General features: G+C 48.3%; 1 protein-coding gene across 17 annotated transcripts in view; it reads right to left on the bottom strand.

Moving 5' to 3' along the window:
* The window catches only part of KATNIP (katanin interacting protein), a 230,201-nt gene that overhangs the window by 156,275 nt on the left and 50,398 nt on the right, over positions 1–23,528 (bottom strand). For 16 of the 17 annotated variants that reach the window (XM_005255201.4, XM_005255202.4, XM_011545775.3 and 13 more), the window contains one exon: positions 5,569–5,645. The exons of the other annotated variant lie outside the window; for it this stretch is intronic. In XM_005255201.4, coding sequence (XP_005255258.1) covers positions 5,569–5,645 — 77 coding nt within the window. The remainder of the gene's footprint in view (positions 1–5,568; positions 5,646–23,528) is intronic. 17 annotated transcript variants of the gene reach the window in all.

Here is a 23,528-nt window from a genome sequence, read left to right as displayed (position 1 = left end):
GCCAGAGCTTTAACCCAGTCTATCCTTTTGTCCTCATGGCAGCCCAGGGAGGTGCCGGCATCTTTAGTCTCCTGTTACAGAAGAGGAAACAGACCCCAGGGAGGTTTAGGGACTTGCTCAAGGTCATGCAAGCTGGGGAAATGGCAGAGCCTCTGGCAATGAGGACCCTTTGAACACAAGGGCCCTTTGAACACAAAGGGCAGGTCACTGTGTTCTCAGAGGGCAGCGGCTTAATTGTGACTAGGCTTATGACTGAGTGGTCTCTGAGTGGTGTGGCTGCCATGGCACTATAGATGAACCACATGGTTCCTCCAGATCTCGGTCATCTCAGGTCGCCTGAGGGGTTTCCCCAAGGATCAGCCATTCAAGAATTACCTGGATGTCAATTTGGGGAGAAGGCATTTATATCGAAAGGATGATAATAATAATAAACATTAAAAAAATTAGCTGGATGTGGTGGCCCGCACATGTAGGCCCAGCTACTAGGGAATCTGAGGCAAGAGGATCGCTTGAGTCCAGGGGTTGGAGAGTGCAGTGAGCTATGATCACACCAATGCACTCCAACCTAGGCAACAGAGTGAGACCCCCATCTCAATCAATCAATCAATCAATCAGTCAATAACTGAATGATGATAATGATGATGATGATAATGATGATGAATACTGGGTTGGGTAGGGGGCTTGCTATGGGCCTTCAAGGGCCTTGTCTCACTTCACCCTTCAGTGATCCTGGGACTGAGGTTCTGTTGGCCTGTTTTAGAAATGAACTTGCCCAAGGCCAGAGAGCCAAGGAAACCTCCAACCTGGATTTGAGTTCTGGCCCGTGGGGCTGCAGTGCTTGTGCTCTCCCCTGCTCCTTCCTGCTGTTTCTTGCCTCTAGCACCAGGCATCACAGAGGCTCTGAGCAAGAAGAGGTCAGAGGAGAGAGCACTGGCTCGCAACTGGGGGCTCCTTGGAGGGGGTGGCATTTGAGTCCAGTCTTGAAGGGTGAAGACAGGGAGGGCAGGGGTGTAAAAAGAAGCCTGCCATTCCTCCCCAGAACCTGTAGGTCACCTAGGATGCTCCACAGAGCTGCACATAAGAGCATCTGTGCAGGTGGAGGAGGTGAGTGTGGAGGACGGAGCTCATTGCCAGAGACTCCACCATTTCCCCAGCTTGCATGACCTTGAGCAAGTTCCTAAACCTCCCTGGGGTCTGTTTCCTCTTCTGTAACAGGAGACTAAAGATGCCGGCACCTCCCTGGGCTGCCATGAGGACAAAAGGATAGACTGGGTTAAAGCGCTGGCTCAGACAAAGGTCCAGGTGAGGCCCCCAGTGATGCTGGTTCTCTCCTTCCTTCTTTCTGCCTGGATCTTCTCCTGGGGCTGCAGGCCCAGCACTTTTGTGGGCAAGTTTTCCTGTAAGTTTCCCTTGAATGACCTTTCTCAAGGACCAAATGATCACAGCATTGCTGGATTCTTGGACCTGGAGAGCAAATCTGGGTCTACCCCCTGCAGTCTAGAGGTGTATATTACAGCCCCTCTCTGCTGTCACCTCTTCAGATACAAGGGCCCTCATCTTCTCAGTCGATCTTCATCACTCAGCCCTTTGATCACTCCGCCTGCCCTTTTATGAATCTTGTCGGGCATGATTACCTCTTTCATGAGGTTGAGTGACAAGAATCACTCAGAGTCCACTGGGACAGGCAGCTGGCAGGGTTTCTGCAGGAGTGAGGCAAGGCTGTCACATCTCCAGACTCTGTCCCCCTACTCCCTGCCCCCAGTCTTCTCCTGGAGCACACAATCACTTTCTGCTTCTTTTGTCATAGTTATAGGTGGCCTTGCGCTCACCCTGCCACTACTGGGGAGTTCTTCAAGGGTAAGAGCTGTGTGGTGGACACCTGCTCTCTCTGCCTGGCCAGGAATCTCCCCCATCTTCCAAACAGAGCCCCTCAGATCTCCACTGGGTACAGCACCATTCCTTCTTTGACTCCATGAAACTGACTCCACCGGGTGAAACTGACTCCACTGCACAATGTAGTGGGGTGGCCAAGGAACGGCCAGTAGACTGCGCCATCTCACCAGACACAGGGAGTGATTGGCTTGTATATAGTTAGGATGTATGACCCCTCTAAATCTCATGCTGGATTGTAATCCCTAGTGTCGAGGTAGGACCTGGTGGGAGGTGACTGAATCATGGGGGCAGAGTTCTCATGAATGGTTTAGCAGCATCCCCTTGATGTTGTCCTTGCGATAGTGAGTTCTCCCAAGATCTGGCCATTTACAAGTGTGTGGCACCTCCCCCCCACCCTCTCTCTCCTGCTCTCAACATGTGATGTGCCTGCTTTCACTTTGCCTTCAGCCATGAATACAAGCTCCCTGAGGCCTCCCCAGAAGCCAAGCAGATGGCGGCACCATGCTTCCTGTACAGCCTGCAGAATCGTGAGCCAATGAAACCTTTCTCTTTATAAATTACCCAGTCTCAGCTGTTACTTTATAGTAATGCAAAAATGGCCTAACGTAGCTTGGGATGGAATTGGGCCCATGCCAGGCCAATGGGAACCTTCCTCAGCACTTTTGCTGGAAGCATTAGGAAAGATACCTAATGCTTCTAGGTAGGATGTACGTAGGGGCTTTTCCTGGCTGTCTTGGCCACTGCAAGTGAAGTACCTGCCTGAGAATGGCTCTAATATGGGAAAACGAGGGTATAGAAAATGGAGAATAGTCGATTTTGATTACATAATCTAAACACTTGGATGTAGCTATGCCTGAGGCCAAGAGTATCATGATGAATTTCTTTTTTTTTTTAGAGACAGTGTCTCACTCTATCACCCAGCCTGGAGTGCAGTGGCATAATCATAGCTCACTGCAGTCTTGAATTCCTAGACTCAAGTGATCCTCCCACCTCAGCCTCCTAAGTAGTGAGTAGCTAGAACTATAGGTGGATGCCACCACACCTGGCTATTTAAAAAAAATATTTTAGAGACGGGGTTTTGAACTTCTGGGCTCAAGCGATCCTCCTGCCTTAGCCTCCTGCATAGTTGGGGTTACAAGCAGAAGCCACCATGCCCAGCTCAATGTTGGATTTCTTAATTCCATGAGCCAGTGTTTCCTAGCTGCTTAAGTCCATTTACTTTGAGTTTCTGTCTCTTACAGCCAAAACATACTAATACAGTCTGTGTCTTCCTTATCACAATGCTTCCCTTTGCATTAATGGCAATGCCAGGCACTTAGAAGGTACTCAGTGAAATCCTGCTAAATGAATAAAAGAAAAATGTTGCCCTGCTTCTTATGGGAAGCTGTGTTCTAGGCAGATCTCTGCTCAGAACTCACTCCAACGATTACATCCCCCCTTCTCGGGTTACAGACAACCCAGATAAGCAGCCTGGGTTTTCATCTCCCTCAATGTCCAGCGTAAAGCTCAGAGGCTAGTTTTCTATCTGGTCCTATAACTAGATTTCCAAGTAAATTGCAGTTCTTCCCACAAAACCCCTCCTCACTTAACATAGGGCCACTGGCAATCCGGCAGGTTTTTTTTTCTCCTCTTGATTGTTTATGACAACATCAAGCAAAACGTAGAGTCCAGCCCGGCTCCACCACTTTCTGGCTGTGAGACCTCGGGCAAGTTGCTCACTGCTCGGAGCCTCCACTTCCTTGCCTGTAAAATGGGTGCAGTTACTCTGCCCCATTGGGTAGTGTGCAGACAAAGTAAAATGATGGGTTGAGGTGCCGGGCATATGGCTGGCACTCTGCAAAAGGTGCCTTTGAGATTTCACCGACGATGGCTCAGGGGGATTCCCATTCTTCACAAGTCTCCACTGGAAGGTGTTTCTTTCCAGCTCTACCTTCTAATTTCCTGTCATCACGACAGCTCCATCTTGGTGACAACACGTCCCCCCAAATTTTATGGCAACTCAGTTTTGATATAGCTTTTAATTGTCTTTGTGCTATAACCTTGTCTCTGGAAATTCTCATTTATACTATTGGCCAGTGCCTCTTTGATTGCACACTTATTGATCCCCCAATTAATGAGAAACAATTTGTTCATAAGGAACTGTGACAGCCTCTCCCCAGACAAGTCACATGCAGATGATTAAACAATCACCCAGGTGTTCAGTGGCACCATCCAGTCTGCCAGAGATTGAATAAAAACATCCTGCTCTGTGGCATTAATGATGATGGAAACCCACGTCGGTCTAATCAGCACAAGCCTTCGCCATTCTAGTTTGAGGTTGATGTGGGGATGGAGGGGGATGAGCACAGAGCTGCTGGGCACAGAGGACACTGTTGTGGCGTTTCTGGCTGGCCCTGGAGAGATTGTCTGTTCCGAAGATCTCTACCAGGGGTGGTGCTGCCTCAGTAGGTAGGTATCTGGAAAGTGGGTGGGTGCTGTCATAGATGGAATTTAGGGTCTTACTGAAATTTAGTAAAGGGGCTGGTGGGCAGAGATGCTAAACTCCTGCAATTCGTGAGATTACAAAAACTTGTCCCATGCAACATGCCACCAAGGCCCCTGTTGATAACACTGAGTCCAGTCAGTGAGACCAGAGCTGAAGTCACATGCAGGATGACACCTCCCTACCCCAGACTCTGTTATCTGCAAGACCCTAAGCCCACTCCGATAACACAGAGGCCCACATTCGTACCCATTCCCCTTTCTTCCCCTTCCCCCCACCAGTTCTGTGGGCCTGCGTTGTTTTTCTGTTTGCTTTGTGCTTTCACTTGAATTCATTACCAACATTTTAAAACTCAGGAGATTTCACAGGCCAAATGCAGATCTCCAGCTTCTCTGGCAGACTTGGGAGGATCAGGACCTGGGGGAACTGTGGTCTCACAGACAGCTGGCCTGGGCTGAGCAGCTTGGAGACAGGAGCTCAGGTATCCACTGTTCCACTGAGCCAGCTCCACTCACTGCCTGGCCACTCCCAGCATCTGAATTTGCAAATCCCCAGCTTATTGCAAAGTTTGAGGCCTGAAGACAAACTGCGGTGAACTGAAAATGAACTTCCTCAGCCCTACAAAGGAACCAAGGCAATGATGCCTCTTTCAAACCAGACCATGATGTTTTGACCTTGATCGCTACACACTGGACCTACTGCAAGCTTTTTCAAGAACAAGCATTCCAGAGACAAAATCAGTCCTACTTTAACTTCAAATGACTTATCGACCAACTTCAAACGCCAATGTAAAATGACTCCATTTTTGCATAACACGACATGATTATAGGCTCAGATTTCAGGGACTGTCAAAGCCTGCACAATCACAGACTGGGCTCTTCAGGTGGTTCTTGCACAAGCCCTGCCAAATCCAAGCCTTTTTTGACAACCTTATCTTCTCCCAGAATAGGAGCAGGGAGGGAAGAGGCGGTACTTACACATCGAGCAGTTTGCTACAGCTCAGTCAAAAAATGCAATTAAATCAGTGAATGGAGAAATAGGAGCTGGGGTTGCAGATAATATTCTAAGCCTCTGAGTGGAGGGGGACTCTGCATCCCATTCCTATGTGAGGCAGGGCCTGCCTGCTGTTAATAAATCTAAATAGATTTTTACTTCGCTAATATCAAGGGCTGCCGTCGAGTGGCTTCTCTTACCGGTTCCTCTGCTGAAGCAATATTAAATACTCATCATGTTTCTCATCAAAGTCTGTCACCATGTCCTTAGCGTAACCCTGAAATGAAGAAACAGAGCAGTGTGATATCGGAATGCAGGGAAGCACTGACTGAGAGTGCAGGTGCAGCACACACCGGCGCAGCAGGCTGAGAGGCGGAGGCTGACCTTGACGAAGGCCCAACACCCCAGGCGCATTGCTCCAGCGACCTGGAGCCCCAGAGACTGTCTGATGGCCCCATGGGTCTTAGGCATACACACCTTTAATCATCTATGAAAAGGAGAAGGTCAATTCCCGCCTCTCGCTACTGTTCGTTCCTCCCATGCCCTCTAAGATCAAGGGTTCTGACATGATTTGGGCTCTACTGTTTTCTCAACACTCACTATTTAGTTATCTCAATTGTCATAACCAGAGGCAACCCAAATCAGTTGTTTAAAAGGGGATCTTGGTCGGGCACAGTGGCTCATGCCTGTAAAACTAGCACTTTGGGAGGCTGAGGCGAGAGGATTGCTTGAGCCCAGGAGTTTCAGACTAACCTGGGTAACCTAGGGAGACCTTATCTCTACAAATAATTTAAAAATTAGCCAGGCCTGGGTGGTGCATGCCTGTGGTCCCAGCTACTTGGCGGGGGCTGAAGGGGGAGGACTGCCTGAGTCTTGGAAGTTGAAGCTGCAGTGAGCCATGACTGCGCCACTGCACTCCAGCCTGGGCAACAGAGTGTCTCAAAGAACAAAAAGGGGAGGGGAATCTTATTTTCCCCCTGCCATTTCAAGAGAAATGTATGTTAATTATAAACAATGCAGTCATTACAGAAATCTATGACCCAGACTGGAGGCCCACTTGGAGTGGACATCTGTGGTTCTGTGTCTCCTCTTCTGCCAAAGGGGCCCTGGGTTTCCTTTGGGGAACTGCTCAGCCCCTTCTTGCAGTTCACTGGCTTCCGTAGATGACCTTGAAAGTGACTTTGTTCTTCTCTTGGTTCACATGACCTTGGCCTTGCCAATCAACATAGGGCTTCCCCCAGTCACAGTGATTTACCACTTTAGGGGTGAACCATGACCCGAGTCAGCCCCGGGACTTTGCTGATACCCTTGGAAAAAGAGCTGCTCTCTTCCCATTTGAATGCTGTGCCAATGAGAAGCAGGCCTGGAACCGCCTGAGAATGAAGCTAATAAAAAAAACCAGCATATCCAAGAGATGCAGAGGCAGATTCCTAATGACATAATTTGAGTCCCTGGATTCACCTATGCCTAAAGAAGTATCCAGACAATTCAGTTAATGCCTTAGAAGTTTCAGCTGAGTTTCTGTCATTTGCAGCCAAAAGAATTTTAAGTAATATACTATAATCTGACCATCAGAGATAATCTCTGGTATAATTTATTATGGCTGGGGGAGAGTAATGTATAATAAACTACATATATTTAAAGTGATATATGCATGTACCAGTAAAACTGCTATTGTAATTTGATATATATATCTTCCTCCGGGTGCTTTTCTTTGTTTATAATATACAAAGATACATATCTACATATAAACACATATATACTCTTTAAAAAGCATTTTTTTTTTTTTTTTTTTTTTTTTTTTTTTTTTTTTTAGTAGAGATGGCATCTCACTATGTTGCACAGGCTGGTCTCTAACTCCTGGGCTCAAGTGATCCTCCTGCCTTGGCCTCTCAAAGTGCTGGGATTACAGGCATGAGCCACTGCACTCAGCCCCATATACCCTTTTATTTCTTTTATTTTTTATTTTTTTTCTGAGACAGAGTCTTGCTCTGTCACCCAGGCTGGAGTGCAGTGGCGCGATCTCAGCTCACTGAAACCTCCATCTCCCAGGTTCAAGCGATTCTCCTGCCTCAGACTCCCAAGTAGCTGGGACTACAGTCACCTGCCACCATGCCCAGCTAATTTTTGTATTTTTAGTAGACACAGGGTTTCACTATGTTGGCCAGGCTGGTCTCTTAACTCCTGGCCTCATGTAATCTGCCTGCCTTGGCCTCCCAAACTGCTGGGATTACAAGTGTGAGCCACTGCGCCCGGCCTCATGTACTCTTTTAAACAAAAATAGGATCATACAATAAACAATGCTTTGCAATTTGCTTTTTCTTTTTCTTTTTTTCTTTGAAATGGAGTCTTGCTCTGTTGCCCAGGCTGAAGTGCAGTGGCACAATCTTGGCTCACTGCAACCTCTGCCTCCCGGATTCTCCTGCCTCAGCCTCCTGAGTAGCTGAGATCACAGGTTTGTGCCACCACACCCAGCTAATTTATATATTTTTAGTAGAGACAGGGTTTTACCATGTTGGCCAGTCTGGTCTTAAACTCCTGAACTCAGGTGGTCCTCCCACCTTGGCCTCCCAAAGTGTTGGTACTACAGGTGCGAGCCACCGCACCTGGCCAATTTGCTGTTTTTTTTAACTTTGTTGCCAAGGGGAGGATTAACGATACAATATCAGCTTGGTACTGGTCCCAAGTTATAGCAAGTTATGGGGATTAAGTTTTAAATGGCAAGTAGGGCATTTGTATCAGAAATGCAACTTGTGTGGGAACCTTAATGCTTATCCTGGGAAGAAAAGAGAGAGAAAAATAGAAATCTCTACTATTCTCTTCTTAACTTCTCAAAATATGGCTCTAGCCCCATTATTCTATTAGAACCCTACCCAAGAGAGACCCAGGACCACCTTAACTTAATGCAATAGGTCTTCTCTCCATCCTTTTCCATTGCTCTGAGCCATGGGAATCTGCTCATCTGTCATGCCATTCCAAGTTGAGAATGATGGGCATTCCTTTTCTCTCTCTCTCATCCTCATGATAATCATTAAGATTCCCACTACAGGCCGGGCACAGTGGCTCACGCCTGTAATCCCAGCACTTTGGAAGGCTGAGGTGGGCCGATCACAAGGTCAGGAGATTGAGACCATCCCGGCTAACATGGTGAAACCCCGTCTCTACTAAAAATACAAAAAATTAGTCAGGCATGGTGGTACACGTCTGTAGTCCCAGCTACGTGGGAGGCTGAGGCAGGAGAATCGCTTGAACTTGGGAGGCAGAGGTTGCAGTGAGCTGAGATCACACCATTGCATTCCAGCCTGGGCAACAGAATGAGACTCCGTCTCAAAAAAAAATAATAATAAATAAATAAAATAATAATAATAAAAAAGATTCCCACTCCATTTCTTAAAAAAAAAAAAAAAAGGCCAGATGTGGTGGTGCATGCCTGTATTCCCAGCTGCTCGGGAGGCTGAGACAGGAGGATGGCTTGAGTCTAGGAGTTCAAGGTTACAGTGAGCTATGATTGCACCACTGCACTGCAGCCTGGGCAACAGAGTGAGACCCTGTCTCTAAAAAACGTCCTACTTGCCAAATTCTCTTCCTCTGCATCTGCAGTGCTGAATGAGCCACTCTTCCCATGCAGCTTTCTGCCTGTGCCTTCTCTAGCTAGCCTTCACCCTGTGCCCTCAATTGTGGAAGGTCAGTGTCTGCCTGAGTCTCCATTTCACCAGTCTTGGGTTTTTCTCCCTCCCATCTTCACTTCTCCCTCCAATTACAAGGAAAAGAGCCTGATGTGCAGCCCAGTCATGCCTAGTCCAGGGCTAACACCCTGATGCCCTTTCTCCTCCTGTTCCCTGTAGAGCCCCAGATTGTTGCCATCTGCTTCCATCTTCCCCTGGAGCCTCTACTTTTCCTTCCCGACTTCCCTCTCTCTAGACCCACTCAGGAACAGGATGATGTACCCTCATGTTCTCTCCTATTCTGACATCTCTGCAACCTCTGAGTTTCACTGGGACTTTGCTTCTGGCTAAGTTGGCCAATCATGAAGTAAGTAATAATAAGAAAGGGTGACATAATGAAATTATAAGAAATTAAAACAAAAACAAAAACAAGGCCGGGCATGCTCACGCCTGTAATCTCAGTGCTCTGGGTGGCTGATGCAGGAGGACTGCTTCAGGCCAGGAGTTTGAGACCAGTCTGGGCAACATAGCAAGACCCTGTCTCTTAAAAATAAAAATTAAAAAATAGCAGGGTGTGGCCAGGCACGGTGGCTGACGCCTGTAATCCCAGCACTTTGGGAGGCTGAGGCAGGTGGATCACCTGAGATCAGGAGTTCAAGACCAGCCTGGACAACATGGTAAAACCCCATCTCAACTAAAAATACAAAAAATTAGCTGGGCGAGGTGGCGGGCACTTCCAGCTACTTTGGAGGCTGAGGCAGGAGAATCGCTTGAACCCGGGGGTTGGAGGTTGCAGTGAGCTGAGATAGCACCACTGCACTCCAGCCTGGGAAACAGAGCAAGACTCAGGAGAATCGCTTGAACCCGGGGGTTGGAGGTTGCAGTGAGCTGAGATAGCACCACTGCACTCCAGCCTGGGAAACAGAGCAAGACTCTGTCTTGGAAAAAAAAAAAAATAGCTGGTGTGGTGGTGCAAGCCTGTAGTCCTAGCTATGTGGGAGGCTGAGGAGGAGGGTTGCTTGAGTCCAGGAGTTCAAGGTTACAGTGAGCTATGATTGTGTCACTGCACTGCAGCTGGGGCAACAGGGTGAGACCCTGTCTCTCTAAAAAACCCGAGAAACAACAACAAAAAACAAACTAGCTTTCCTGGCTTCTGGAGGTGCCTACAGAGGCTACTCTGTCCTCCCCTGGGCCTGAGTCCTGCCTCATCCTGAGTGCAAGAAAAGCGCAGGAGGCCTCAGCCCTCGGGAGAGCTGGATTTCAGGAGAGTGGGTCTGGGGAGGATTCTCGCCTTCTTCCAGAATAATAACACATAAATCGTGCAGTTTACCCAGCATTTCCATATACACGATTCTCCTTTGATCTTCACAGAAGCCCTTGAAGTAGTGATTATTACCCCATTTAAGACACAAGGAAACCCTCCCATGCATCTTCCCAGAACACAGATGCTGCTCCAAGGCAATTTACATAACCATTTTGAAACATTAAAATGACCGTTAATATATTATGGGTATGGCATGAAACAGTGGATGACATTTTTAGATGAAATATGGGACTTCAAAGAAATCTCAGCTTTTGCTGGCTGCCCTGGGCTTTCACCTCAAACTCTCCAGGGAATGCATCGATCCTCCTTTGCCAGGAGGGAGATGTCATCAGAAAGACTCGAGAAACTGAAACTTCCATCCATCTCCACTTCTTAAATGTTGATGTGCCTACAAATCACCTAGGGATCGTGGTGAAATGCAGATTCTTTTTTTCTTTTTGAAACAGGGTCTCACTCTGCCTCCCAGGCTGGAGTGCAGTGGTGCGATTTCGGCTCACTGCAGCCTCAACTTCCTGGGCTCAAACTATCCTCCCACCTCAGCCTCATGAGTGGCTGGGACTACAGGCAGGTGCCAATACATGGCTAATTTTTTTCTTTTTTCTTTTTTTGTATTTTTTGTAGAGACGTGGTTTTGTCGTGTTGCCCGGGCTGGTCTCGGACTCCTGAGCTCAAGTGACCCACTTGCCTCAGCCTCCCAAAGTTCTTAGATTATAGGCGTGCGCCAGTGTGCCACCATGCCCCAGATTCTTTTTATTTATTTATTTTTTTTGAGACAGGGTCTCACTATGTTGCCCAGGTTGGTCTCAAATTCCTGGCCTCAACTGATCCTCCCACTTCAGCCTCCTGAGTAGCTGAAACTACAGGCATGTAGCACCGTGCCTGCTTTGAAATGCAGATTCTGACTCAGTAGGACTGGCAAGTGCCCAAGTCTGCATTTCTTTTTTTTTTCTTTTTGAGAAGGAGTCTTGTTCTCTTGCCCAGGCTGGAGTTCAGTGGTGCGATCTTGGCTCACTGCAACCTCCACCTCCTGGGTTCAAGCGATTCTCCTGTCTTGGCCTCCCAAGTAGCTGGGATTACAGGCATGCACCACCTTGCCTGGATAATCTTTGTATTTTTACTAGAGACGGGGTTTCACCATGTTGGCCAGGCTGGTCTCGAACTCCTGACCTCAGGTGATCCACCTGCCTCGGCCTCCCAAAAGTGTTGGGATTACAAGCGTGAGCCACCACACCTGGCCCCAAGTCTGCATTTCTGATGAGCTCCCAGGTAATGCTCATGGCCCACACTTTGGGTAGCAAGGCCCTAGACTAGCCAACTTTATTTCCCACCATTCACAACACCCCCAGCTACAGTCATATGGTCTCTGAACTTGAGCTGGGAGGTACATGGGCTCTGCAGTCCAGCCTGGTTCTGTGTCACAAGGTTGCCACCTAGTTTCTTTACCTATAAGATGGGGTGATGCCTGTACCTGTTGTCTGGTGGAACTTTTCTTTCCCTCACAGGGTTAAGTGAACTGGATGCAGTAACAGTGGAAAGGATTTAGCACAGTACCTGGCACTTACAAAGCTCTCAATGAACATTAGTTATAAGTGCATTTATGGAACTCCATTTCCAAAACAGCACCATCCGAGTCCCACCTCGCCCCATTCTCACTCCTAACTTGATGTCTTAATCATCCTATTCCCTTTTCCAGAAACCCACTCAGCCCCCTCTAGCCTCCGCTCCCAGACTCTCCAAGGGCCAGCTCGGTTCCCAAAGTCCCCATGAAGGCTTCCCTTGCCATTCTCTCCCCTACTCACTTCAGTTCCTTCTGAAAGCCTGCAATTAGTATTAAATTATATACAATACAGTGTGAAATCGGATATAATTAAGTGCTGAGTTGTTAGCATTTAACTACATATACTACTCACTAATTATCTGGGGATTTGGAGGTGTGGGTGTGAGCCCTGAACTCTGCTGTTTATCTCATCTGAGCCTCAGTTTCCTTGTCTGCGAAAAGGGGATACCAATAAGGTCTACCTCACAGGGCTGCTATATGGATAACCTAGGATTAAAGTGGAAGTAATTTGGGATCATTTTCTTTCTTGCTCATCTTGGCTCCCCAGTCAGATTATAAATTCCTGGAGGGCAGACCCATGACACAGGGAAGGAGACAGAGTTTCGCCTGAGTGCCTAGAGGCCTGGGCTCCAGTCCTGGCTTCACCGCTGTCCAGCTCTATGACGATAATTGCTAAGGTTGACTTAGCACTTACTATGTGCCAGGCAAGATTCTACCCCTTTTTGTGCCTAATTCAGTTAACCCTCGTTGTTCTGAGGCTTTATTTCCTTGCCTACAAAATGGATGTATGAATACTTAAGGCACCCAGCAAAGGTGTGAGAACCCTGAAAAAATGCCAAGTTCATCTTCACTGTTTCTCAGTAAACATTTATCAAGGGCTTATTGTGTGGCTGGCCCCCTTGCATATGCGATCAGGGCTTAACAAAAGCTCTGACCCACTGTATATTCAGATACCAACTTGCCTGTATAGACTCTGTAAATCCCGAATAGCTGAGATAGGTCTTAGTTAATTGAGAAAGTTTCTTTTGCCAAGGTTGAGGACGTGCACCCATGATGCAGCCTCAAGAGGTCCTGATGACATTTGCCCAAGGTGGTCAGAGCACAGTTTGGTTTTATACATTTTAGGGAGACATGAGACATCAATCAACATATGTAAGATGAATATTGGTTCGGTCCTCAAAAGGCGGGACAACTCGAAGCAAAGGTGGGACAAGTGGAAGCAGAGAGGGGGCTTCCAGGTCACAGGTAGATAAGAGACAAATGGTTGCATTCTTTTGAGTTTCTGATGAGCCTCTCCAAAGGAGGCAATCAGATATGCATTTATCTCAGTGAGCAGAGAGGTGACTTTGAGTAGAACGGGAGGCAGGTTTGCTTTAAGCAGTTCCCAGGTTGACTTTTCCCTTTAGTTTAGTGATTTGGGGGCATCAAGATTTATTTTCCTTTCACAGCTGTAATCAACTGCTGGTTGTTGGTTGGGGGTGCTGGACTGAACAGCCCCAATCATGTGTGCGTGTGAATTGTGCCCCCTGATGTTGTACAAAAGCGGGCTGCAACTGCAACCAGTCAAGCAACCACACACTGTCTAGGGATCCCTGCAGGGGGTCCTGAGAACACCCATTTAATTGCATGCACAGGGGTGTTCTTGGAAGAGTCCATAACTTTCTTCGGACTATCAAAGGCACCTGGACCCCTCCCAAAGGACAGAATTATAATAAAATACACAAAATGCAATGCCAAGTGTCTGAATTAGATCCCTAGGAAGGTCTCTCCAATCCTTGGAGTCATCTTCAAAGCCCCACTCTGTCTCCCATCCCACATCTAACCCGTCAGCTCCATATGAAAACTACTGCGTATCCAAAATCTGACCATTTCTCCCTGCTCTCCCCTCCCAGGCTGGTCTGGGCCCAGACTGGACTCCTGCTCTTGCCTCCTCCCTGCCTTCTGTCCTCCCTGCTGCCACCTGGGGGGCCTGATGAGAGGTGAGTGGAATCATGTCACTCTTCTGCTAGGACCCCAAGGGGGCTCCTGTCCCACTCAGAGTCAAGGGCAAGGCCATCCCAGTGGCCATGAGGTCCTGCACTCTAGGCCTTGACCCCCATCTCTGAGCCACCTCCCACTACCCCACTCCTCCTCCTCACTCCAGTGTCCTCAACACCCGCCAAGCTCCCACCTCAGGCCCCATTCCTTCCATGTGGAATGCTCTTCTCTCAGGAAAATGCCCACATTCCTTTCCTCCTTCAAGACTTAACCCACTGGCCAACATGGTGAAACCTCATCTCTACTAAAAATACAAAAATTAGCTGGGCATGGTGGCGCATGCTTGTAATCCCAGCTACACGGGAGGCTGAGGCAGGAGAATCACTTGAACCCAGGAGGTGGAGGTTGCAGTGAGCTGAGATCATGCCACTGTACTCCATCCTGGCAACAGAGCAAGACTCCACCTCAAAAAAAAAAAAAAATGACTTGGCAGGGCGCGGTGGCTCACGCCTGTAATCCCAGCACTTTGGGAGGCTGAGGTGGGCGGATCACGAGGTCAGGAGATCGAGACCACCCTGGCTAACACAGTGAAACCCCGTCTCTACTAAAGATACAAAAAATTAGCCGGGCATGGTGGCGGGTGCCTGTAGTCCCAGCTACTTGGGAGGCTGAGACAGAAGAATGGTATGAACCTGGGAGGTGGAGCTTGCAGTGAGCTGAGATCGCGCCACTGCACTTTGGCCTGGGCAACAAAGCGAGACTCCGTCTCAAAAAAAAAAAAAAAAAAAAAAAAAAAAAAGACTTAACTCAGATATTCCCTTCTCAGTGACGTCTCCCCTGACCACCATAGTGAAACTTGCAAAGAGTGCACACACTGCACGCCCCCTCTCCTGTGTCCCTCCCTGCACTAACACACATCTAATTTATTTTACTTATTACACCTTTTATTTATTGGGGTGTCCTTGCACTAGAATGAGAATTCTATGAAGGCAGAGAGCTTTGTCTAGTTTGTTCATTGTGCATTCCAATGAAATTGTTGAGTGAATGAATCCATGAGGACACATTTGAGCAGGGATCTGAAAGTTGAAATGTTACCTGGGCAACAAGAAAAGGGAAGGGCATTCCAAGCAGCAGGGCCAGCATGAACAAAGGTTTGGGGGTGTGAAGAAACATGAAATGTTCATGGACGGGCCAGAGGATGCCTGAAAAGCTGGACCCCAGTCACCTGAAGCATTGGCTTGTCACCCATAAACGATCCCTCGGTTAGGATGTGGCGCTTGCAGGGGGATAAGGGGGAATCAAGAATTGGCTAGATTGCCGGGTGCTGAGGAGGCGCAAGTGACCTACAGCGGAAGGTCCAAGGAGTTTGGATGTGACACGAAAGCAGAGCCTCAATGTCCTTATTGGTATCCTTATCTTTATCCCCAATGCTGGCCCTGGAGAAGGCATAGAATTTTATCAAGGACTGTCTTTACAAAAGTGTTTTTTAAAAATTAGCTGGGTGTGGTAGTGTGAGGCTGTAGTCCCAGCTACTTGGGAGGCTGAGGTGGCAGGATAGCTTGAGCCCAGGAGCTCGAGGCTACAGTGAGCTATGACCGTGCCACCAGACTCCAGCCTGGGCAGCAGAGTGAGACCCTTTCTTTAAGGAAAAAAAAATTCCTACCAAGAGTTAGGCACTGTAGACGTAAGGGAGAAGTTAGGACTGTGGTTTGAGATCAGCCTGGGCAACATAGCAGGACCCCATCTCTACAAAAATACAAAAAAAAAAAAAAAAAAAAGATTCACCAGTCATGGTGGCGTGCACCCGTAGTCCCAGCTACTTGGGAGGCTGAGGTGGGAGGATGGCTTGAGTCCAGGAGGTCGAGGCTGCAGTGAGCTATGATTGCACCAGTGCACTCCAGCCTGGGTGACAGAGCAAGACGCTGTCTCAAAAAAAAAAAAAAAAAAAAAAGAATTTTACCAATGGCCATGTTATTAATTTTCTCTAGGGGAAAAAAAAACTAGAATTGGAATGAAATGCCAAGAATCAGTTATACTTAAAGACAGAGTCCATATTTCAAGGATCACGTATTCCTCTGAGGCCACCATATTGGAATTCTCCTCAACAGGGCTGATGAGTGAATGCAGAAGCCTGAGCTGCATTCAGGAGCAGCTGAGAGTGCAGTGCTGGTTTCTAGGGCTTGAGAATGCTGGATACCCAACCGTGCTGACTGCAGGTCTCACCAGAGAACCATCACTTAGACGGGATAACACTGAGACCATGAAGCCACTGTTTGTGGCCGGGTGTGGTGGCTCACGCCTATAATCCCAGCACTTTGGGAGGCGGGTGGACCACTTGAGGCCAGGAGTTCGAGGCCAGTCTGGCCAACATGGTGAAACCCTATCTCTATTGAAAATATAAAAATTAGCCGGACATGATGGTTAGCGCCATGCAGGACTGTAATCCCATCTATTCAGGAGGCTGAGGCAGGAGAATGGCTTGAACCTGGGAGACGGAGGTTGTGGTGAGCTGAGATTGTGCCACTGCACTCCAGCCTGGGTGACAGAGTGAGGTTCCATCTCAAAAAAAAAAAAAAAAAAAAAGACACTGACTGTCTAGGGTCACAGAGCTCTTCCACACCCCCAAGTCACTTGATTCCCCGCTGCCTCCCTATAGGCTGCACACCCTAACTAAGGGATGAGTTATGGGTGACAAGCTAATGCTTGAAGTTACTGGGGTCCAGCTTTTCAGGCATCCTTTACTGCTGTTTATCAGTGCTGTCTGTGGGTGCTTATTTAACGCACGCAGCAATCCTATGCTCTAAGATCCTTGTGCCCATTTTACAGAGGAGGAAATGGAGGCCTTGAAAGCTGAAGCAAATTGTCTGAAGGTCTCAGAGCCTCTAAGTGGAGATAGCAGACAACCTTGTTTATGTGGCGCCAGCATCCATTCCTGTTCTGGGTATAACACCTTGATTTTCCTCTAGGAAAACCACCTTTCGTCCACTCTCAGTCCACGTGGCGTGGGTGGAAATAACACTCCCAACACTGCAAGGGAAAGCACGTACTGCAGGCCCGGCCAGTGCATTCCATCTCCCCGGCCATGTGATGGTTCAGGGATAGGTGTGCTTCCCAAGCTATGCCTCCCAAGGACCCTCCTGGAAAAGTCCTTATCTCTCCTCCTCTACAATTACTAGTGATATGAGCCAGGGCTACTAGGGAAGGGAGGAAGACGTCATTTCTTCACACACAAAGGAAGGAGTCATTTTACCAACTTTTTAGGTTCACAATTATGAGCAACCTTAAATGTTCCATGGAAAAATCTGCCCAAGATGCCAGGCACGATGGCTCATGCCTATAATCCCAGCACTTCCGGAGGCTGAGGTGGGAGGATCGCTTGAGCCCAGGAGATCGAGACCAGCCTGGGCAACATAGTGAGATCCCACTTCTACCAAAAAAAAAAAAAGTTAGAAAAATCTGTCCAAGACTGATGACACAAACATAGAGACAGCAGAATGGAAGACAATGAGAGACAGGCCAAATAGCAACTAGATCCTTTAATGGTGGTTAATCCACCATATCCAGCCATGCCCGAAGCCAGCACTAACGTTTTACTCACTTGAGCAAATACATCCCTTTCTTTCCTTGGGCCAGTTTGAAGTGTGTGTGTATGTGTGTGTGTGTATGTGTGTGTGTGTCTGTGTGTGTGTGTGTGTGTGTATGAGAGAGATTTATACCCGAGTGGGTACTGGGTGGTACAGTGGTAGAACAAATACTAGACGGTGTCTGAATCCAAAGTTCCTGCCATGTCTAAGGGCTCAGAGAAGCATTTCATAGAGGACTAAATATACCTTGATGAATGCTCCAATGGCCCTAAGCCCACAAGAAGAGATGATCCAAATGTATCTTACAGTACAAAAGTCACAGCCTTCCTTCAAAACCCACCCCAAGTGCCAGTTCCTCTATTCTCCCAGTGAGTCTGTGTGTCCCAGCGCTGTGGAGCCCGTCCTCAGTGCACATGAGTTAAATGAGAAAGTATCTGAGCCTGCTTCTTTTTCTCTTTTTTTTTGAGACAGAGTCTCGCACTGTTGCCCAGGCTGGAGTGCAGTGGCACGATCTCAGTTCACTGCAACCTCCACCTCCCAGGTTCAAGCAATCCTCCTGCCTCAGCCTCCCCAGTAGCTGGGACTACAGGCGTCTGCCACCACGCCCAGCTAATTTTTGTATTTTTAATAGAGACAGGGTTTTGTCATGTTGGCCAGGCTAGTCTCGAACTCCTGAACTCAAGTGATCCACCCTCCTTGGCCTCCCAAAGTGCTGGGATTACAGGCCTGAGCCACCGCACCTGACCTGAGCCTGCTTTTGACTGCATTTGCTAACACATCAGTTATATTCCCATCCTCGAAAACAGAAATATACTCTGCAGTCAATGCACCCATCACACCAGCAGAAGCCAAGCAACAAAGACCTAAAGCAACGGTTGATACTGCCCCCTAGAGGTAGAATGAAACAGCACAAAACACTGCAGCAAACATTTGAGTTTCTCACGCCCTAGGATAGGTGTCCTAACAAAATATTACATCCTACGCGCATGCCAGATGGATAATCAAAGGGAGCGTTTGGGCTATTTTTCGAATACCTTAGAGTTACATTTATTACTACCCTACCTGCTATGTACCATTCTTTATTGCTACCAATACATACCTTGAGATTTTCTATTCAGTCTCAGGTTTTATAGACTGCCAAGGCAGATCCAGAATCTAGGACCCCAGGACACAGTTACGGTGTATTTTTATAAAAATGTTTTTCTTACATAGCTATCTAAAACATCATTTTCAATCCATGTCCAGTGGAAAATAACGAGCATTTCTTTTTATTCTCAGAAAAATTTTCTTCTAAAATTGCAAGGTGTTATTTATCAATTATCTTTCAGACTCACAAAGATAGAAGACTTAAAAAATCTTGAGGTCGGGTGTGGTGGCCCACGCCTGTAATCCCAGCACTTTGGGAGGCCAAGGTGGGTGGATCACTTGAGGTCAGGAGTTCGAGACCAGCCTGGCCAACATGGTGAAACCCCATCTCCACTAAAAAAAATATAAAAAATTAGCTGGGCATGGTGGCACATGCCTGTAATCCCAGCTACTCAGGAGGCTGAGGCAGGAGAATTGCTTGAACCTGGGAGGCAGAGGTTGCAGTGAGCCGAGATCACGCCACTGCACTCCAGCCTGCACAACAGAACGAGACTCCATCTCAAAAACCAAACAACAACAACAAAACTTGAATGAGTTTACTTTAAAAAGGAAGGTTTATATTAATGCCATAAATGGAAAATAATTATTGCTTGCCAGAAGGTAACCATAGACATAAATACAGACCTACTAAAAGAGAAAATGTTTACTTGCCACCTACAAGGTGGCAGAGGTAGGCAAAACACACACTGGGAAACACAGAGTCAGAACTTCCACATTCACACAACCCTAGGAGGTGGGTGGTGTTGACTTTATTTCACACAATGATGCATTTCTTCAGTATTGGCTGAACACTTCCTCTGGCTGGGCCCTGAACTAGTCTCTGGAGATACAACAGTGAGCCCAGCAAAGTCTCTACTACCACAGAGTTCACATTCTAGCGAAAGGAAGACAGATGATTTCCAAAAAGTAAGACAGTCGAGTGCGGTGACTCACAAGTGTAATTCCAGCACTTTGGGAGGCTGAGGCAGGAGGATCACTTGTGCCCAGGAGCTCAAGACCAGCCTGGACAACACAGTGAGACTCTGTCTGTACTAAAAATTTTTTAAAGTAGCTGGGCGTGGTGGTGTGTGCCTGTGGTCCAAGCTACTTCACAGGCTGAGTTGGGAGGATCGCTTGAGTCCAGCAATTCAAACTAGCCTGGGTAACACAGTGAGACTCTATCTCTACTAAAAATTTTTAAAAGTAGCTAGGCATGATGGCATGTGCCTGTAGTCCCAGCTACTTGGGAGGCTGAGGCGAGAGGATCGCTTGAGCCCAGGAGATTGAGGCTGCAATGAGCTGTGACTGCACCACTCTACTCCAGCCTGGGTGACAGAGTGAGACCCTGTTTCAATCAATCAGTTTTTTAAATTAAAATATATTGTATGTCACCTGACAATAAGTGCTATGGAGAATAGAAAGTGGGAAGGGCGGCCAGGCACAGTGGCTCACACTTGTATTCCCAAAACTTTGGAAGGCCGAGGCAGGTGGATCGCCTGAGGTCAGGAGTTCGAGATCAGCCTGGCCAATGTTGTGAAACCCAGTCTCTACTAAAAATACAAAAATTAGCCAGCCATGGTGGCACGTGCCTATAATCCCAGCTACTCGGGAGGCTGAGGCAGGAGAATTGCTTGAACCTGGGAGGCAGAGGTTGCAGTGAGCAGAGATCGTGCCATTGCACTCCAGCCTAGGCGACAGAGGGACACTCTATCTCAAAAAAAAAAAAAAAAAGGAAGTGGGAAGTGCTGTAAATCTCAGAACTTTGGGAGACCAAGGTGGGAAGATCACTTGAGCCCAAAAGTTGGAGACCAACCTGGGCAACGTCATAGTGAGATGCCATCTCTAAAAAAGAAGAAAGTAGGAAGGGGCAGAAGAATGCAGGAGGAAGGGGAGGGGCTCCCTCTTCCCTTCACTGCAGTTGGGGGTGGTGGGGCTCAGGGCTCCGAGAGGGCCTCTCTGGGGAGGTGTACCCTGAGGGTAAAATCACCTTTGTAAGAATTATACTAGAGAGAAAATTCTGAATATAACCAATTCTATCTTGCCTTTCACCTCCAAAATGCCCTTGGTCATTCCTGGGCGTGTGCCAAGCTAACTTTGAGAAAATTTAGTTTATCGTTTAAATAATAATAGCCCTTCCCCAAACTAAATTACCTTTGTAAAGCCAATGAAAGGCCACCAGGTTAGGAGGATGAAAGGGGCCTGAGTTCTGCTAAAATCTAGGCATAGTTCAATGATTGCCAGCCATCATTCCAGAGGTCACTAGATTTGCAACTTCCCCAAGTACTCTGCCCCAAGGCAGATCATGATTGTGGATCCTGATTGGCCTTCTGAGATGTCTTTTCAGGCTTTTGCATTTCTGACAACCAGATGGCCCAAGCCACACCCCTGTGATTGCACCTTCCAACCAATCAAGGGCACCCAGACCCTAGCTCCTTGCTCACCAAACTATCCTTGAAAAGCCCTGGCATCAGCTGGGTGCCGTGGCTCATGCCTGTAATCCCAGCACTTTGGGAGGCAGAGATGAGAGGATCACTTTGAGCCCAGGAGTTCAATACCAGCCTGGCCAAAATGGCGAAACCCTGTTTCTACTGAAAATACAAAAATTAGCCGGGTGTGGTGGTGGGCGCCTGTAATCACAGCTACTCGGGAGGCTGAGGCAGGAGAATCACTTGAACCCAGGAGGAGGAGGTTGCAGTGAGCCGAGATTGTGCCACTGCACTCCAGCCTGGGCAACAGAGCGAGAATCTGTTTCAAAAAAAAAGAAGAAGAAGAGGAAAACCCAAAAACTCTAGCCTCCAGCTTTTTAGGAAGGCTGATTTGAGTAATCATAAAACTCTGGTCTGCTGTCTAGCTGGCTCTACATGTATTAAACTCTGTTTCTGTTTGAAGTCCCCTGTTTTGATAAATTGGCTGTATCTGGGCAGCAGGCAGAATGAACCCGTTGGGCAGTTACAAGGTATTGGGATAAAAGGGGCTTTCAGATGGCAGGAACAGCGAGTGCAGAGGCCAGGAGGCTCAGCACATCTGGGGAAGAGCTCAGAGGCCAGTGTGGCTGGAACAGACTGAACAAGGCAGGGGAGTGGGAGGAGATGGAGTGGGACAGACCCTGAGGCTGCCAGGCCTTGCAGACTCTGGCCTGATGCTGAGGCGGCCGGGAAGCTACTGGAGGGCTTGGGGCAGACCTGACATCCTTTCAACTGGATTTTAAGCGAGTCCTGAGTTGAGAAGGGCTGAGGGAGGCTCAGAAGGTTTCCACAGGGCCTGCAGGTAGAAGGATTGAGGCTGCCCCTACCCTCCTTGCCTGAGGACAGCCCAGGAGGGGGCTCAGGCCTGGGGCAGCATAAACAGCCTCTAATAATTGAGAAGAGACAAGCTGCTTTCGCCCTCTCAGGCTGGTGCTGTTAGTGGACCTGATTTAGGGCCACTTTTACCTGTCAGAGCCTCTCAATCCTGCAGGACTGGCCACCAGGCCTGATGGGAGGAGAGAGGCAGCCACCCTCCGCCAATCTTTGCCTCCATCCACCTGATTTCCATCCAAGAACTTTTCCTTCTAATGAAATGGACCTCCCAACACAGGGCATCTATCACCACCAGCCCAGCAGGCAGGGCTGTCTGAGTAGATGATCATTCCCCCACACCCCAGGGCTGCTGCCGGCCCCCTGAAGAGGGGAGGGCACTCCCTTCCTATTGATCCTACACATATTCCTTGTGCTTCTCCTATGGGTTGGGCATCGGGCAAGGGCCAGAGATAGACAGACAAGTGTAATCTGGCCTCGCCACCCTCCTTGACCTCATTTCCACCTTCATCCTAATAGCCACATGGTCCTTCTGGCTCTTTCTCAAGGTCATTGCCGGCCGGGCGCAGTGGCTCATGCTTGTAATCCCAGAACTTTGGGAGGCCAAAGCAGGAGGATCACTCGAGCTCAGGAGTTCGAGGTCAGCCTGGGAAATACCTCGAGAGCACCCGCCCCACTCCCCCTGCCCCGTCTCTATAATAAGTAAATAAATAAAGGTCATTGCCTCTGTTGTTCCCCCTGCCTGCAATGTTTCCCTCCTTGCTCTAGGGTAAGCTTGTTTAGCAGCATCCCCTCTTCCAGGGGCCTCTCCCAACAACCTCTGTCCCTGTCTGCCTCCTCACCCAGTAGCACCTCTCACTCTCTGAAAGTATCTCTGTTCATTTACACATGGCCTCCCCCATCAGGACGCCAGACCCACGAGAGCAGGGACAATGCGAGCTTGCTCACTGCTGTGTCTCCCAGTTCCTGGCATGTACAAGGAGCTTATAAAGGATTTGCAGAAAGGAAAGAACACGGAGGAACAGAAGGAAAGGGAGGAAGACAAAAATCCCTGGCCTCAAGGAACTTGGAGTAGAGAGATAGAAATGGAACAATTGCTCCAGTGCAGTGTGGCAGATGCTATCAAGAGGAGGCAACTGAGGTTGGGTGCAGTGGCTCACTTCTGTAATCCCAGCACTTTGGGAGGCTGAGGCGGGTGGATCACCTGAGGTCAGGAGTTTGAGACCAGCCTGGCCAACATGGTGAAACCCTGTCTCTACTAAAAAAATACAAAAAATTAGCTGGGCGTGGTGGTGTGTGCCTGTAATCCCAGGTACTCGGGAGGCTGAGGCAGGAGAATCGCTTGAATCTGGGAGGCGGAGGTTGTGGTAAGCCGAGATTGCGCCACTGCACTCCTGCCTGGGAAACAAGATTAAAACTCCGTCTAAAAAAAAAAAAAAAGAGGAGGCAGCTGTGCCACAAGGGCAGTGGGTGGAGTGGAGGGGGCCTGGGATTACTGGCGGGGCTGGGTGGGCTTTGCAGAAGAGAAAACAAGACACCGAATTGTAAAAGAGCTCACCAGGAGAATGGGGGAGGGCGGAGCAGGGGCCAGAAGGGAAGAGTGTTTGTAAAAGCAGATGCCAGGAGACTCC

This window comes from Homo sapiens, chromosome 16 (genome assembly GCF_000001405.40).
Source record: "Homo sapiens chromosome 16, GRCh38.p14 Primary Assembly".
NCBI lineage: Eukaryota > Metazoa > Chordata > Mammalia > Primates > Hominidae > Homo > Homo sapiens.
The sequence above is the reverse complement of the archived record's forward strand: the minus strand, read 5'-3'. Positions and strand labels throughout refer to the sequence as shown.